The sequence below is a fragment of the Homo sapiens genome, chromosome 4, assembly GCF_000001405.40.
Source record: "Homo sapiens chromosome 4, GRCh38.p14 Primary Assembly".
Taxonomy (NCBI): Eukaryota; Metazoa; Chordata; class Mammalia; order Primates; family Hominidae; genus Homo; species Homo sapiens.
In genome coordinates, this window is record NC_000004.12 from 111,814,794 (window position 1) to 111,831,633 (window position 16,840).

A 16,840-nucleotide genomic window follows, 5' to 3' on the forward strand; every position below is an offset into this window, starting at 1 on the left:
TAACTGATATTAGCTTCCAATGAGTGCTTTTTATTTAACATGGTGGGCAAAAAGGTTATTTTATTCATTTTTTGTCATTTTTCATTTATGATTCTTTTTTTTTTCCTTCCATGCTGCAGAAAGGCATAACCATTGCACTATTTCTAAAACACCAATGCTTGGTTTTGGTTTGGTTACTTTGGAAAGTCTCCTAACTGAGCAGTGAGAAGAGTTTTTTACCTTGAGGGATAGGAGAAAAATAAATTTTTACCCCCCAACAAACCCTAACTGTAAACACAGGCCTGGCTCTCCGTGACCCTAGATGCCGCCAGTTACACACGTGCATGGAGCATGGGAATCCTCTTAGCTGCCGCCCTCACCTGCCACTTCCATCACTCTGTGGCCGCAGCTCCTCTGAGAAGGCAGTAAATCTGTCAATAGGGCCTAGCACCAAATGGCACGGGGTTCCTATCTAGCCTTTTAAGACAAGCCCTCCAGATGATTTCTTCTCTTTAGATTGACATTAATGTTAAATGCAGAAGACTGATACCAAAATCTTTACTTAAGTTGCTTTTCCTCTTAAAAAATTTTATCAATAGAAACTGATAAGAACAAATTTCAAAGAATCATCTAAAAGTATCCATACTTCAAAAATCAAAAACACTCATTTTGTTTTGGTTTGCCTGTAAATACTGCCTAGGGGCTGAAGAGCTGGAGATAAACTGAGGGATGCATTGAGAGGAGGTCACTTGGCAGTCAGGTTTGAAGACTGCACTTCTGAAGCTCCATCAACTACTTCAAGCAAAAGCCTTTATTGATCCACCTTTAACTTGGAACACTGTCGTTTTAGCTTCCTTTTCTCCCATTAGTTCCAGTTCAGTCCTGTTATTAATCATGTATTGAAATAGAAAGAGGGTCACAACGTAATGTGAGGCAGGGTAGCAGGGGCACAAGATTCTGCATTCTAAGTATTGTAGCCCTTTGGAAAAGATGGCTTCAATCTTTTGAAGCCTCAAGCCTCCCTACTCATAATACAACTACTTTCCCAAAAGGGAATTGATTTGTAGTATTTCAGTATTTCAAATATATACCTCATATTTAAAATAAGTTTCATAGTATGTTGTTCTCTCTCTCTCTCTTTCTGTCTCTCTCTTTCTATATATATAAAATATATATCGATATATATTATATATATCAATATATAGATGTTATCTATAGATATTATATAGTATATAATATATTATAATATATAATATATAGATATAAACTATAATATAGATCTATATATTATATAGATATATATATAAAGGGAGTATATATATAGAGAGAGAGAGAGTATACACACACACACATATATAAATATACTTAAGTGCTCAAATGCTATAATGGGAAGAATGACATTTTAGAGTTAGATCTGGTTCAAATTCTGTCTTAGCCACTTAGATTTATGAATATTAAATAAGAAAGTAGATATAAGTATCTATACATGTGACTTAAAATATATTAGTTATTATTTCTTTCTTATGAAAACACTTTTGCAAAATTATGACAAGACAAATCTGTTACAGTTGACTCCATCTTGCTTCTGACCTCCAAGCTGTCCTTGGTCATTCCTGGGCATAGGCCAAGCTAACTTTGGGAGGAATTTAGTTGATAGTTTACCCTTAAACAAGGATGATAATAGCGCTTCCCAAAACTAAACCAACTTTGTAAAACTGATGAAAGGCCACTAGATTAGAATTATGAAGGAGGCCTCCACTCTGCTTAAGATATAGGAGTAGTTTCTATACTCCCTACTGCTCTGAAGTTATGTGCCAGGGGTCACAAGATCTGTAACTTCCACAGTTGCTTCTGTAGATAACATCACTATTGTAGAACCTAAGATTGGTCTTTTGAGGTTTTTTTCTCAGATTTTTGCATTCTGACAACCAAGGGACCCTGCCCTGACCATGACTCATGACTCAACCAGTCCTGTGGCATCACCCAGAGGAGGACTCAGCACACAAGGACCATTTTCCACACCCCTTTGATTTCACCCCCAACCAATCAGCAGCACCCATTCCCAAGCCCCATACCCATCAAATTGTCCATAAAAACCCTAACCCTGCCAGCCTTTAGAGAGACTGATATGAGTAGAAACTCCAGTTCTCCTGTGGCTGGGCTCAAGTTAATTAAACTCTTTCTTTACTGATCTCAGTGAATTCGTTTTGTCTGTGCAGAGGGCCAGAAGAACCTGTTGGGTAATTACATTTAGCAGCCATAAAATATTAGAATTAAAAACAGTTTAGATTACTTTTACATAATCAATGCAATATTTTGTTTTTAAATCCCCTACTAACTATGACTTGATTTCTGATTATTTTAGTACTGTTTTTCCCCCTATATGGGCTGGCATTGCTTTGTTTAATAAGCTAAACTCAAGAGAAGTTTGGTGGGCAGAATTTTAAGATGGTGGCAAGAATCCTGTCTCCTGGCAAACACACTGTTTATAATCTACTCAAGCGCAGTCTGGAGCCATGAATATGATGGAATAATAGCTCTTGATGAGGTTATGTCCTGTGAGCAAGGTGATGGGACAGTCATCCCCTGATGTGTTACATTATATAAGACAATGCCTTAGTAGACTGAAGAAAAAGAGGTTCTCCTACTAGCCTTGACCTTAGGAAGGAAGCTGCTGTGTTGTAAGAAAGCCATGTGGCAGGGCACTAAGGTGGCCTCTAAAACTGAGGGCAGCTTGCTGCTGACAGCAAGAAAACAGAGGCCTCAGTCCTACAAACATAAGGAGCTGGATTCTGCCAACAACCACATGGTCTTGGAAGACCCTGAGCTCCAAAGGAGAATGCAGCCTGGTCAAAATCCTGACTGCAGCCTTGTGAGACTCTGAGTAGAGGACCCGGGCAACCATGCCCAGACTCCTGACACAGGGAAACTGAGATAACATGTATGTGTTGCTTTAAGCTGTTGAATTCATGGTAATTTGCCACACAGCATAGAAAACTAATACAAGAAGCAAATCAACATTTCATATTAAGTATTCAGTTTAAAAGTCATTCCTTCAAAGAGAGATTAAAGTAAGAGTAATTGAATCCTTCAGCCCTAATCTGTTAGGAAAGGTATGCCTATCTATTAAGGATCTATACGGAATAAATATCAGTTGGCAGTGAAACAGGGGCCTATTTGTAAAAAGGAAAAAAAAATAGCTATGCTACAAACAGTATTTACAGTAAGAGAGACTCTGGAGTAATAGAAAAACAGCTCGTGTTTCTTGGTTATTTCTTGTGCCCAGGTTCTGTTCTAAGTCTTCTACAGTTTACATCTTTAGATATTTTCCCATAGCTTATCATTAAAGTTGATGAAAAGTCAAGACATTTTTCTCAATACTATTTTTTCAAAATAGTACTGGTGTTTGGAAGAACACCTAGATTAGATCTAAATTTATAACTGTTAAAATCTACGTTATTATTCATATGGAATTTCAATGCATCCTAAATAGTGTAATCTTGAAAAAGAACAAGTTGGAGGTCTTACACGTCCTGATTTCAAAACATACGACAAAGCTACAATAATCAAATCAGTGTGGTAGTAGAATAACAACAGACATATAGATGAATGGAATAAGATTAAAAAAAAAAACGAAATAAGCCTTCATTTATGTGGTCAAACAATTTTTGACAAGGGTGCCAAGCCCATTCATTAGGGAAAGAATAGTCTTTTCAACAAATGGCACTGGGAAAATGGGATATCCACACGTGAAATAATGAAGTTTGCCCCTTGCCTCACACCAAGTATAATAATTAATTTAAAATGAAGCAAAGAGCTAAATGTAAGACCTAAAGCACTCTTAGCAGAAAACATAGAGGAAAGACTTCATGACATTAGATTTTGCAATGATTTCCTGGATATGGCAGTAAGCACAAGCAACAAAAGAAAAATAGTAGATAAGTTGAACTTCATCAAAATTTAAACTTTGTGTATCAAAGGTTACTATCAACAAAGTGAAAAGGCAATAAGCACACTGAACATTTGCAAATTATACATCTGATAAGGGGTTAATATCCTGAATTTAGAAAGAATTTCTACAACTCAACAACAACAAAAACAACCTGATTTAAAAATGGGCAAATATTTCTCCAAAGAAGATATACAAAGGGCCAATAAGCACAAAATAAGATGGTCAACATCACTACTCATTAGGGAAATGCAAACCAAAACCACAATCAGATACCACTTCACATTCATTAGGATGGCTATTACTGGTTTTTTAAAAAGAAAAATAAAGGAAAGAAAAACAGGAGGTAACTAATGTTGATAGGAAGTAGAGAAACTGGAACCCTTGTACACTGCTGGTTGGAATGCAAAATGGAACAGCTGTTATGGAAAACAGTATGGAGTTCCTCAAAAAATTTAAAATTGAATTACTATATGACTCAGCAATCTACTTCCAAATACATATCCAAAACAATTTAAAGCAGACACTTGAACAGGTATTTGCACACCCATGTTTACAGCAGCATTATTTGCAATAGTCAAAACCAACCCAAATGTCTATTGAGAAATGAATAGACTAAATGTGAGATATACATGCTATAGAATATTATTCAGCCTTAAAAAGGAGTCAAATTCTACCGCATGATACAACGTGGATAAAACTCGAAGACATGCTAAGTGAAGTAAGCTAGTCACAAGAGAACACATAGCTTATAATTCCACATGTATGAGGTACCCAGAATAGTCAAATTATAGAGACAAAAAGTAGAATGGTGGTTGCCAGGAGCTGGGGAGAGGGGAAAATGGGGATTATAATGGGTATAGACTTCCAGTTTGGGAAGATGAAAAATGTTCTAGGGATGGATGGTGGTGACAGTTGCAGAACAATGTGAATTTACTTAATGGTACTGAACCATACACTTAAAAATGGTTAAAATGGTAAACTTTATGTTATGTGTATTTTACTACAGTAAAAAAAAAAAATTTTAAACCCAACATTCTACCAGAAGATCGTTTTAATCAACATATGGGAAAATTTGTTCACACCTGCTTGGTAGCACTACACTTTTAAGAGCCTGTCCCTGTACACTAACCAAGTTTCCCAATAAGCATAACCAATAGCAAATTTAAATATCAAGAGTCCTTACTTGAAATGCTGTAGGTAAGCCATTATATTGTGGCAGTTACTTCAGAATTGGAAAAACTAAATTTAATTTCTAGTTCTACCACTTAGCTATGGAAAATCGAACAAGTGCTTAATCTCTTAATTTCTCCATCTGTAAAAACTCTGTCCCTTTAGGATTGCTGCAAAGACTGCTATAAGAGGATGTATATATGCATGTTAATAGGGGCAATCTCAAGTGTTCATTTAGCATCCTTCCACGTGGTTATTCGGGATCCCGGTTGTTTTCATCTCACTGTACCACTATCTAGCAAAGATTCCTCAGAGTCATCCACAGGCTTCTCTGCATTGAACCAACAAAAATATTAAGAGTGAGGAAAATTATACAGGATAATTTTATGACCAGGTATGTAAATGAAGTTCAAGTCCACCATGAACATTTCACTGGCCAGAACCTGATCCCACGGTTGCAACCCACCAGCAAAGCAAGCTGGTAAACATAATCCTCTGTTCGCCCCAGAAGAGAAAATGAAATTGATAAGCATCTAGTCAGTTTCTGCTACAAATGCCAAAGAAAAAGTTGTTTCCTGTCCCATAAGGAACATCTCCAAGAACATAGTGAAAGTGAAGAAGTAGATTATCTCATTTTGGACCAGGAGCGGTGGCTCACGCCTGTAATCCCAGCACTTTGGGAGGCCGAGGCGGGCGGATCAGCTGAGGTCAGGAGTTCAAGACCAGGAGTTCACCAACATGGTGAAACCCCGTCTCTACTAAAAATACAAAAAATTAGCCAGGCATGGTGGCGGGTGCCTGTAATCCCAGCTACTTGGGAGGCTGAGGCAGGATAATCGCTTGAACCCAGGAGGCGGAGCTTGCAGTGAGCCTCAATCTCTCCACTGCTCTCCATCCTGGACAACAAGAGCAAAACTCCCATCTCAGAAAAAAAAAAAATTATCTCCGTTCTTCTTGGACCACTTGACAACTACCTTGTTTCAGATGCCTCTCTCTTTGCAGTGAGATACATTTGCCATCAGGCAATTGTTTTTCTGAGCTACTTGAAGCCACACAATAAACATTGTGCATTTTCCTGGAATATCTTAACTGGTTGGGGGAGTAGGGTAGGGGTGTAGTCAGATATGTGTTATTTAACTTGTACATAATTTAAAACTTTAAATTTATAAGGCAAACTTGAATATAATATGAAGTAGAATGCAAACTTCACATTAATTTTTTAATAGAGAAAACATGAGACTTCAAAAAAAATTGTATACAGGAAGGGAGCCCTTTAGGTTGAATTTTTTCCTACTACTATGTGTACACGTTCATTCTGTTCTGAGGTTATTTTAAGGGAAAAGGGTGAGAGGCACTGAATTATATATTGACTTTTATGTTTTTAATTATTTAATAGACTCTACCTCTTTCTTGTATATTTTTGAGATATATAAACTATACATGTATTTATAATTGCTAAATATTAGCATAAGCTGAATATTATGCACTAGCTACACTGAAACTTACATTGCCTCCCTATACCTTCAGTATAAATATATCAACACATTCTTTCAGCAAAAATGTTATCATTCCAATGCTATTATGCTTGCAATGCCACCTAACCATTAAAAGCAGTTCTCTTTTGCAAGTGTTCAAAGAGGTTGGACAGATGAGATAAGACAAAGTTTAAGCAAGCCAAAGTAACTACTTAGTTCAAATTTGTTTCAGTCAACATTAGGAGGAGGCAGCTTGTTGTTGCCAGGATTTCCAGATCTAAAACATTTGTTTATTTGATTGTGTAATGTAGATAAAGCTTAACTCTTTCACCTCACATTTTATTATTTTATCTTAGAGAAGAAATTCATGCTAATTGCAACCAAGGAATCAAGCTAAAATGCATGAAGAGTTAATGATTTCACCCCTTTTCCTTTCACTCCCACACTGGATAACCAGTGTTAACATTCTTCTTCTTGAGCATACAGATATATACAAGTGTACAGGTATGTAAGATTCTTAGATGTAAGTGGGATTGTACCATACACAACGCATTTCTCACTTATATTATCAACATTCCACCAGTTCATAGATATGGATCTAATTCATTTTCAGTTAAAAAATGTATTCTCTAATATGAAATACCGTAATTGATTCCACTATTTAATTATTCATGAATACTCCTTGGCTTTTTTGTTTATGTGTTTGCTAATTACTATTAAAAATTCTGCAATAAATACCCTTTTATATATTTGTTTATAGAATGGAGCTTTCATTTATTACTATAAGGTAGATTGTCAAAGAGCCAATGGATATGTTTATCTTTAATCTCAAAATTGGTCTATTTAATATATATTGGTCTATGCTTTATTCTATTTGCCTGATCTGATTATCTTTTCCTGGGCCAGTAACACAGCTTTGATTATAGTGTGTGGTAGAGATGACTATTATTCATCAATATCTGTGTGCTCCTCTTTTTCCTGAGTATATCACTAGAAGACACTTCTTATCCCTCTTGCATTTAGGGAAGGCCACATGATTAGTGTCTACTTTCCACGGAAGTTTAGGAAAAGTGAGGTTTCTCCATCTTTTTGCCATAAACTTAATGAATAGGAAAACTTTCAGAAGGAAGAGCCCCAAGACAGAAGGAACACAGCTGTGCCACTTTATCAAGGTATTGCTTCTTAGCTTAAATCTGCCTACTTTCCCCTGCTTCATTACACTGGAGCTAGAGCCTGTAAACATTTCTCCTTCGTCAGGTGGCACAAGATTAAACATCAGATTAACCTTAGTGAGTGGAAGGTGTTAGAGGGACACTTTAAGGGGAAGGGACTTCTCTTCCTCCTTCTGAGGTGATTTTTCCTTTTGAATCATTTGATTGATTGATTGATTGGAGACAATGGCTCACTCTGTCCCCCAAGCTGAAGTGCAGTGGCACAATCATGGCTCACTGCATCCTCAACCTCCCAGGCTCAAGTGTTCCTCCCACCTTAGCCTCCCAAGTAGCTGGGGCTACAGGTGCGTGTCACCACACTGGATAATTTTTGTATTTTTTTTTTGTAGAGAGAGTGTTTTGCCATGTTGCCCAGGCTGGTCAGGAACACCTGAACTCAAGTGACCTGCCCACCTCAGCCTCCCAAAGTGCTGAGATTACAGGTGTGAGCCACTGTGCCCGGCCCTTCCTGTTGATTCTTGGAGCACGTGGCACCTGGTAGCATTCACCCTCCAGCAACTTCCCTAGACACACCAGCAGGCAGCTTCTGAGAGAGTCTTGCTAGCACCACAGTGATCAGTTTTCTGCCTATCAGCCCCAGCCAGTGGCAGCAAACTTTTCCACTTCCAAGGGACACATTCCAAAGAGCTCCAATTGTCAGTCTTGAGTGGGGTTGGGTCTTCAAGTCTATTCTTTCCTTGGCTACTCTGCCTCAGCCCTATAAGGAGTGACTGCTCCCCAATTCTTCTATTCTTCTATTCTTTAGAATTTTCTCCACACCTTAGTCGTTAATCCCCCGCTTAATAAATCTTTATATTACATTTTCCCTATTCCAATAACTGATGTGGTTTCTGTCTCCTGGTTGATATAGCATATCACTGAGTGACTGCTAGAAAAGGTCTCCCGCTTCTACCACCAGTTACATGAGTATGACCTGTGTTTGGTTGCTAAAATTTGGGGGATGCTGGCTGCAAAATTAGACTGAACAACCAGTTGAATTATGGAGTTATGGTGATAGTTAATACCTGGTAAATCAAGGACTCTACACTTTTTCAAATTGGCATACCTATTCTCAGCTAATACTTCAATATGAAATCTGACTTTATCACATTCCAATAAATAAAAATTCTATTCCACTAGAATACTAATTGACATAATATATTTATGAAATGTAATATTTTTACAATATTAAGTCTCTTCCCTGGGAAAGATATTATGCCTGTATATTTGTTTAGACTTTCTATAATGTCCTCCAATAATTTGTTGTTTTTGTATAGAAAATATCTTATCAAATTAATTTTATCACTACTTCAAATGAGATATTTTTCTGCTTCCATTTTTAAATAGCTTTTTTCTCTTTTCTGAGACAGGGTCTCATTCTCTCAGCGAAGGTGGAGTGCAACGATACAGTCACAGCTCACTGCAGTCTCAATTTGCCAGACTCAAGTGATCCTCCCACCTCAGCCTCCCAAGTAGCTGGGACTACAGGCACATGCCACCATGCCTAATTTTTAAATTTTTTGTACAGATGGGGACTTACTATGTTGCCTAGGCTGGTCTCAAATTCCTGAACTCAAATGATCCTCTCCCCAGGCTTCACAAATGCTGGGATTATAGGCATGAGCCACTGTTCCCAGCCTAAATTATTTTTTTCTAATTCAAGAATTTCTATAGATTTTTACAAGCTGATTTTTAAAATTCAGCCAATATTCCAATTTTTCATATTAAATTTAGGAGTTTTAAGGAAAATCCTTTTGGGTTTTTGTCATCTAAAAGATACAAATCTATCCAATGTTTACATTGTTTTATTTTTTATTGCATTAGTTAATACCTCTAAAATGTTTTATAAAAGGGTAAAAGTGGATATTCCACAATTTTTTTCTAATTTTTATGGAAATAGCTTAACATTGTACCATTTATTTTCTCACTTCCTGGTGCAGATAAATAAACTTGTCCTTCTCTTCCTTTCAGTTAGAGTTTTACATAACAAATAATTGTTTGGGTTTTATCGAATGTCTTTGTGGCAATCATGAGTATAGTCATACGGTTTTCTACTTAATTGGTTGGTATAAGAAATTAGGCTTAGATTTCCTCCTGGTACCACTAGTTTCAACTCCCTCATACAGAATCTAAGGCATATTCCTAGACTTGAAATCATCTACGGAAGGCTTGTTTGGCCAAGAAACCATAAAGCTCCAAGTGTTCCACATACGACCTTGTTCCATTGCCTCAGCACTGCCCACACAGTGATAGGGAACTCAGGAATGCCACATGGTCTGGTATGGTTTGTCTATGTGTCCACCCAAATCTCATCTTGAACTGTAGTTCCCATAATCTCCAGTTGCCATGGTAGGGATCCGGTGGGAGGTAAATTATTGGGGTGGTTACCTCCATGTTGTTCTCCTGATAGTGAGTTTTTAAGCGATCTCATGGTTTTATAAGGAGCTTTTCCCTCTCTTTGTTTCCCCTATCATTGTTTGCTTCCCCTTCTGCCATGATTGTAAATTTCCTGAGGGCTCCTCAGCCCTGTGGGACTGTGAGTCAATTAAACCTTTTCCTTTATAAATTACCCAGTCTCAGGTATGTCCTTACAGCAGCATGAGAACGGACTAACATGTGGTCCCAGTGAGACCACTTTTCTCCTACCACATAAAACACCCTGCTTCACCAATGCAAATTGCTTAAGAAACCACCCCCTAAAGGAGAATATCATTAGATCCGACCATTTACTCTTCTTACAAGACCATTAAAGCTAATGCCAACATGCACTATGTCCCTAGTTAACATAATCCCATCAATGGGAGTGCAAGCCACCCCATATATTTTTAGGCAGTTTTCATTCCCAGATCTTATCCTCTAAGCTATGTAGACCCTCTAATCTGATTGAAGCCCTCAGTCCTAACTGATTCTCCCAGTGGGTCCCATTTGTGGTTGTACTGGCATTTTGGTGCAGGAATCAGAGATATTAAATGTCCTCCCTTATCCTGGAGAGCTTCTGCACTGTAAAAATGATCTCACTTAAATTGCCAATAGTTTATCTGTTAAGAAACATGACATTTTCTTATGTGTCCTCTAAAACTTCTGTTTATTATCAGCAACAGCTTCTCTATCCTCAACTCCATCTCTGAATGTTCATTTTACTTTCCTGCTCTAAGACAAACTGGGCCAGCTACCCACTGAGGGACTCTTCCCAAGTAGAGGCTGTTATATCTACAATACCCCAAGCTCCTTAGTTTCAGCCACAGCCAGATGTCAGTCTATTCTGCCCGTTATTAAAATCCAAAACCTATGAACTTAACTTCAATTGCAAGAAACTTCCCTTTTAGAGGCTAATTATTATGTTTTTGTTTTTGTTTTTGCTTTGAGATGTAGTCTCCCTCTGTCACCCAGGCTGGAGTGCAGTGGCATGATCTCAGCTCCCTGCAACCTCTGCTTCCTGAATTCAAGCAATTCTCCTGCCTCAGCCTCCAGAGTAGCTGGGATTACAAGCATGCGCCACCATGCCCGGCTAATAGAGGCTAATTATTATGTTGGTGCAAAAGTAATTGCGGTTTTAGACCATGAATTTTAAATCATTATAACTAGGCTCAAATACATCTTTATTAATCACAATCGGAACCATTAAAATTAACACATTTTTGCCAATGAGAAATAAGTTTGTTTATTCCTGTAGCATAAAAATCTGTGCTTCGGGATTTGACAAACTCTTAGAAAGCATTTTCTGCATCCTGCTGGTTGTAGAAGGTTTTCCCTGCAAAACAAACAAACAAAAATTGTCGAGATACTTGAAGAAGTGGTAGTCAGTTGGCAAGAGATCATGTGAATATGGTGGATGAGGCAAAATTTTGTAGCCCAAGTCGTTCAACTTTTGAAGCATTGGTTGTGCGACGTGTGGTCCTGAGTTGTCGTGGAGAAGAATTGAGCCCGTTCTGTTGGCCAGTGCTGGTTGCAGGCATTGCGGTATTTGGTGCACCTCATAGATTTGCTGAGCATATTTCTCAGATGTAATTATTTCACCAGGATTCAGAAAGATGTAGTGGATCAGACCGGCAGCAGACCACCAAACAGTCACCAAGTTTGAGTTTGGGAAGTGCTTTGGATCTTCTCGGTCCAACCACTGAGCTGGTCATCGCCAGTTGTCATATAAAATCCACTTTTTGTCGCACATCACAATCCGATCAAAAAATGGTTCGTTTGTTGTTGTGTAGAGTAAGAGAAGATGACACTTTAAAACGACGATTTTTTTTATTTTCGCTCAACTCATGAGGCACCCAGTTATCCAGCTGTTTCACCTTTCCTGTTTGCTTCAAATGCCAAACTACTGTAGAAAGATCGACATTGAGTTCTTCGGCAACTTCTTGAGTAGTTGTAAGAGAATCAGCTTCGATAATTGCTTTCATTTGGTCTTTGTCAACTTCTGATGGCCAGCCACTATGCTCCTCATCTTCAAGGCTCTTGTCTCCTTTGCAAAATTTGAACCACCACTGCACTGTACATTTGTTAGCAGTTCCTGAGCCAAATGTGTTGTTGATGTGGCAAGTTGTCTTCACTGCTTTATGACCCATTTTGAACTCAAATAAGAAAATTGCTGGAATTTGTTTTTTGTCTAACATCATTTCCATAGTCTAAAATAAACAGCAAGTAATAAGTCATAAGCAAAAAAAAAATAAAGTGAGAAATGCCCATTAAAATGATGTATAATATAACCACATTTATTTAAGAATGTACTCCAATATCAAACAGCAAATTCCAACAATGCAAAAACCACAATTACATTTGCACCAACCTAATGGGTTTATTTCTAAGAGACAATTCTCTCTTAAGATTTTGGCACCTTTCTCAGATTGTAGCATTGGAAAGTCTTGTGTTCTTGCATAGAACGTTACATTGGTAGTAAACCCAGACAGCATGCCTTATTTGAAAAGCCTTCACCCTTTGCCCAAATCTAGCTTTTTTAGAACCTTTTAATTACCCTCTGGGCCTGTGTTGTCAGCTTCCCATATATGCCTATGAAACCCATAGGCATATATCCGATCTATCCATCCACCCATCTCCAATATATCTGTATATTTTTTTCAGCTGGGAAAGCAGCCTTAGAAGAACGTTTATCTGAAGATTCTACTGAATATTTACTAATGGCTCTGAAGTTTGTGACCCCTAGTGCCTTGTGAGGAGGGAACTGTTTTTCACTTGCCACTAAGAATAGCCTTAAGTATTATTCTCTCCTGATCTCTTACTCTAGAGATTCTCCACCTGATAGACATTAGAATCACCTGGAGAGCACTGCAAAGAGGCTATTGCCAGGACCTCACCACCATATATTCCAGTAAAATTGGTTTGTGGAGAGGCCCAGGTCTCAGTATTTTTTTTAATTCTCCAGCTGATTCTAATGTGCAGCCACCATTGAAAAACCACTGTCATACTTTTCAACTGAGTTGATAACAGTTCCAACTTCTTTGTTGACTCTTTTGTGGCCTTCCACAAGTAAGGCCAATGCTACTTGTTAGTTTTAAAAACCCTCTATCCTACCTTCCTTTGTATTCTGGTGAACACGTTGTGTTTTCCTAATTTAATAATTTAGATTTCATCTTGTGAAATCCCATATTGTAGCAATTATGAAATCAATGATCACTGTCTTCCCAAAGCATCTGTTGTTCATATAATTTTTATCTGCCATCATTTCAGAGTCAGATAATTTCATTCAGGCTCATTCTTTCATCCAACCAAGATCTATTCCAACTGCATCTATTCTTATTCTACCAGGTTTCTGACTGATAAGCCTCATCACTGCTGCACATTCCCTTGAATTTCACAATTTTTAGTTATGTTCCCAAAGACACAGCCTGCAGAGTCATCTGCCGTACTGTTGAACTCATTTGGATATTCTTTCAGAATCTTATATTGACCTTCTCCCAAATCAATAACCATACAGTCTTATGATACAATCTTTCTATGTTTAATATAGCATAACTAGTTTTATGGAGAATACAGGGTCTAGGAAAGGTATCGGCAGATTTAAGGGACCATTTTACGTTAATCTCCTGGATCTTACTATTAATCTCCTGGATCTTACTATCTGGAAAGTCATTCCAGTTTGCTCTCCATGATCTTCATCCTATTCCTCTGATAAATTTATCTGGGAAAAAGTCATAGTTTCTGATCAATAACAACTCAAATATATACCCATCTTGTGATTTTTCTTGGCCCCTCTTTAAGAGAGCTTAATCCTGGATATATTTCTTTTATTCCCACTGTTTGCAATTTGTACTGCATTTTGATATCCTGTTTTCCACTCTTTACTTTCTCTTAAGTCTTTGAGGATGGAGGTTTTCTCTTAAGGACATACCTCTGTTCTTTTAATATAGTCAGCTTTATTTTCTTGTTTTATTCTTTGTTCTCCCTCTGTTCTTGTTAAGATAGCAAGATTGAAACTCCAGTTTATCTTTGACATCCCGGGAAAAACATGATTCCTAGAGATAGAAATCAGGACATTTTTAATTAATAGTTTTTGTCAACAAAACATTTGGTTTAAAAAATAGTCTTGATTTAGAAAAGTATATATAAATGAACAGTACAAAGACTTATTATAAAATGAACAAACCCATGCAACCATCACCTAGGGCAAAAATTAGAAAATTACCACAAGCAACCCAGAAGCAACCTTCTTGCTACCTGCCAATCATTACTCTCACTACCTCAGAATGTACCCACCAATCTTGACTTCTACCACCACTTCCTATTTTTGAAATTTATATAAATGAAAACATATTTTTAAAAATTTCTGGCTTCTTTCACTCAATGCCATACTTATAAAATGCAATCATGCTGTTGCATGTGCAATAATTTAGCCATTTTATCACAGTATAGTAATTCATTTTATAAATATAATCAAGATATGTCTATTTCTATTTTACCATTAGTAGACATTTACTATTGAAAGTCTTGAAAATTATGAGCAACTTAGGATCTATGAATTCTATCGGTAGCTGTGAAATTATCTTGGCATTAAACTATTACAAATAACACTGCTTTGAATATTCTTTTTTTTTTTTGAATATTCTTATATGTCTCTTTTGGTTGATGTAAGTGTTTGACTTTGTCAGACACATACCTATGGAGTAGAATTGCTGGCTATATGGATCAACTGTGCCAGGATCTAGTTGATGCAGTTTCATGCCCAAGGCTTTGATATATTTTGAAAAAGTTAAATAATGACTTTTTTTTACATTTACCAGTATATATATCCCAGAAAGACATAACTGATCTAATAAAATAATACACAGTGGTGGAAGTAAGTGATATGATTGTAGCTGAACAATTTCCAATATTTAGGCAGAAATGTCATATACTTGAAAAGACAATTAACCATTTATCACAATCTGATAGGCCTGGATCATAGAAGGCTCTGTGAGTCAGGTTACGATGTTTGCCTTAGATTCTCTGGGTAATAGATATTGAGCAACAGAGTGACCTGGATGGAGTTATCCTTTAGGGAGACATCCTGGCAGAACGGCGTGAAGTGAAATGAAGGTGAACTGAAGTCAGTGAGCCATTTAGAATCTTCTCATGAAAGTCCAGAGAAAACACAGAAAGGGATCAAGCTAGAGCAATGACAGTGGATGACAATCACTCTACAAGGAAAAATTGAAGGTTGGGAGACAGGAAAGTTTTCCTGTCCTGGCTGGAGAAACAATTTTTAATGACTGTATAGCCTGTTCTTTGTAAAATTTCCTATCCATTTTCTCAGGAGGAGACAAGATAGGAGAACTTTAGTGGTCAATCACCCTTCTAAGAATCAATTAATAAAGATACCAATAAATACTGATTCCATTTCCTCAGACTGATTCTTTTAAGTGGGGGAAGTAAAAGGCTGAATTAAAGGTAATATAACAGTCTTATATTTATGTAATTTCTAAGGTAGCTGCATTGCTTGTCAGTGTATACTTAATGTATGATGACAGTTCAGAACTGATTTTTTTCCTTTGGGATTTTTAATAATAATTATTTACTGCATTTTCAAAGCCCTTGTCTATATCAGCAGGATGTTATATTGTATGACAAGCAATTCAAGACTCATACTTCCTAGTAGTGGCCTCTTTTTGGAGACTTCAGAAAATGCCAGGCAGGGGGTGATAACAGAGAAAGAGCTTAATAAATGTTGCACCAAAAATGAATCCAGAAACCAGTCTTTCTTTGTAGTAGTTTCATGACATTCAAATGTACCAAGAGCGTCACCATTGACTTTTCACAGGTTAGAGACATCTTGCAATTTCTAGCCAAACTTCAACTTTGGTTCCAACTTTATATGACTAAGAACAAATTGATTCAACTTAAAAAGAAAAATTGTTATTCCTTTATACAATAAGAATAAGAGGATTAGGAGGGAAAAAAATGTTTACCTCACAGAAGTACAGCAGATTGCACAGAATTGTTCTAACAATTTTAGTCATGCTAATAAAGTCACTGGATTTCCACTCTCATGAGGGAGCTTCTCAAATTACTCAAAAATCTGCTTTGGGTGTTTTTGCTTTCAGAAGCTCAGAAATTACTAGTGGGGGATAGTTAATATCTTCCCACAGAGATAAGAACAGAATCACCAAGAGAATTAAAGGAAAAGCAGAGAAATGGAGCGTTCAGTGCAATGTGCTCAGGAGAATCTGACTGTGAATCTAATGCCAACTCAGCTGCCACTTACAGCCACATCTTCTTTAAAATATAAACTAAAAAAAAAATTACGTTTTGCTGTCGTGCCAAACCCCTATCCACTCCAATGGATATGGTACCAGGTTTAAGAGGCTGAAGAAGAGACCCAGAGCCAGTGAAAAAGACATGGAGTTTTACTGGTGGCTTACATAGAGGGGAGAGAGTCCAGTTGCAGCAGGCTGAACAGGAGAGCCACAACCACTTGCAAAGGCACGCAGTTTACATAGCATTTTCACTGAACACCCTTTCCCTATCAACCTCCACCTGACAACCTTCATTCAACACAAAACTCAAGGCCTTCATGTCCCATGTGACCAGTATTCCACAGGACAAGTCGGGGCTCAGATGTT

General features: G+C 37.4%; 1 long non-coding RNA gene across 4 annotated transcripts in view; it reads right to left on the reverse strand.

The window, feature by feature from the left end:
• Positions 1-16,840, reverse strand: part of LINC02945 (long intergenic non-protein coding RNA 2945) — a 308,805-nt gene that overhangs the window by 11,328 nt on the left and 280,637 nt on the right. For 3 of the 4 annotated variants that reach the window (NR_186682.1, NR_186681.1, NR_186680.1), the window contains 2 exons: positions 14,134-14,257; positions 11,370-12,412 (listed from right to left, as the gene is read on the reverse strand). The exons of the other annotated variant lie outside the window; for it this stretch is intronic. This is a non-coding gene — a long non-coding RNA (long intergenic non-protein coding RNA 2945). Of the gene's footprint in view, positions 1-11,369; positions 12,413-14,133; positions 14,258-16,840 lie in introns of those variants that run through there. 4 annotated transcript variants of the gene reach the window in all.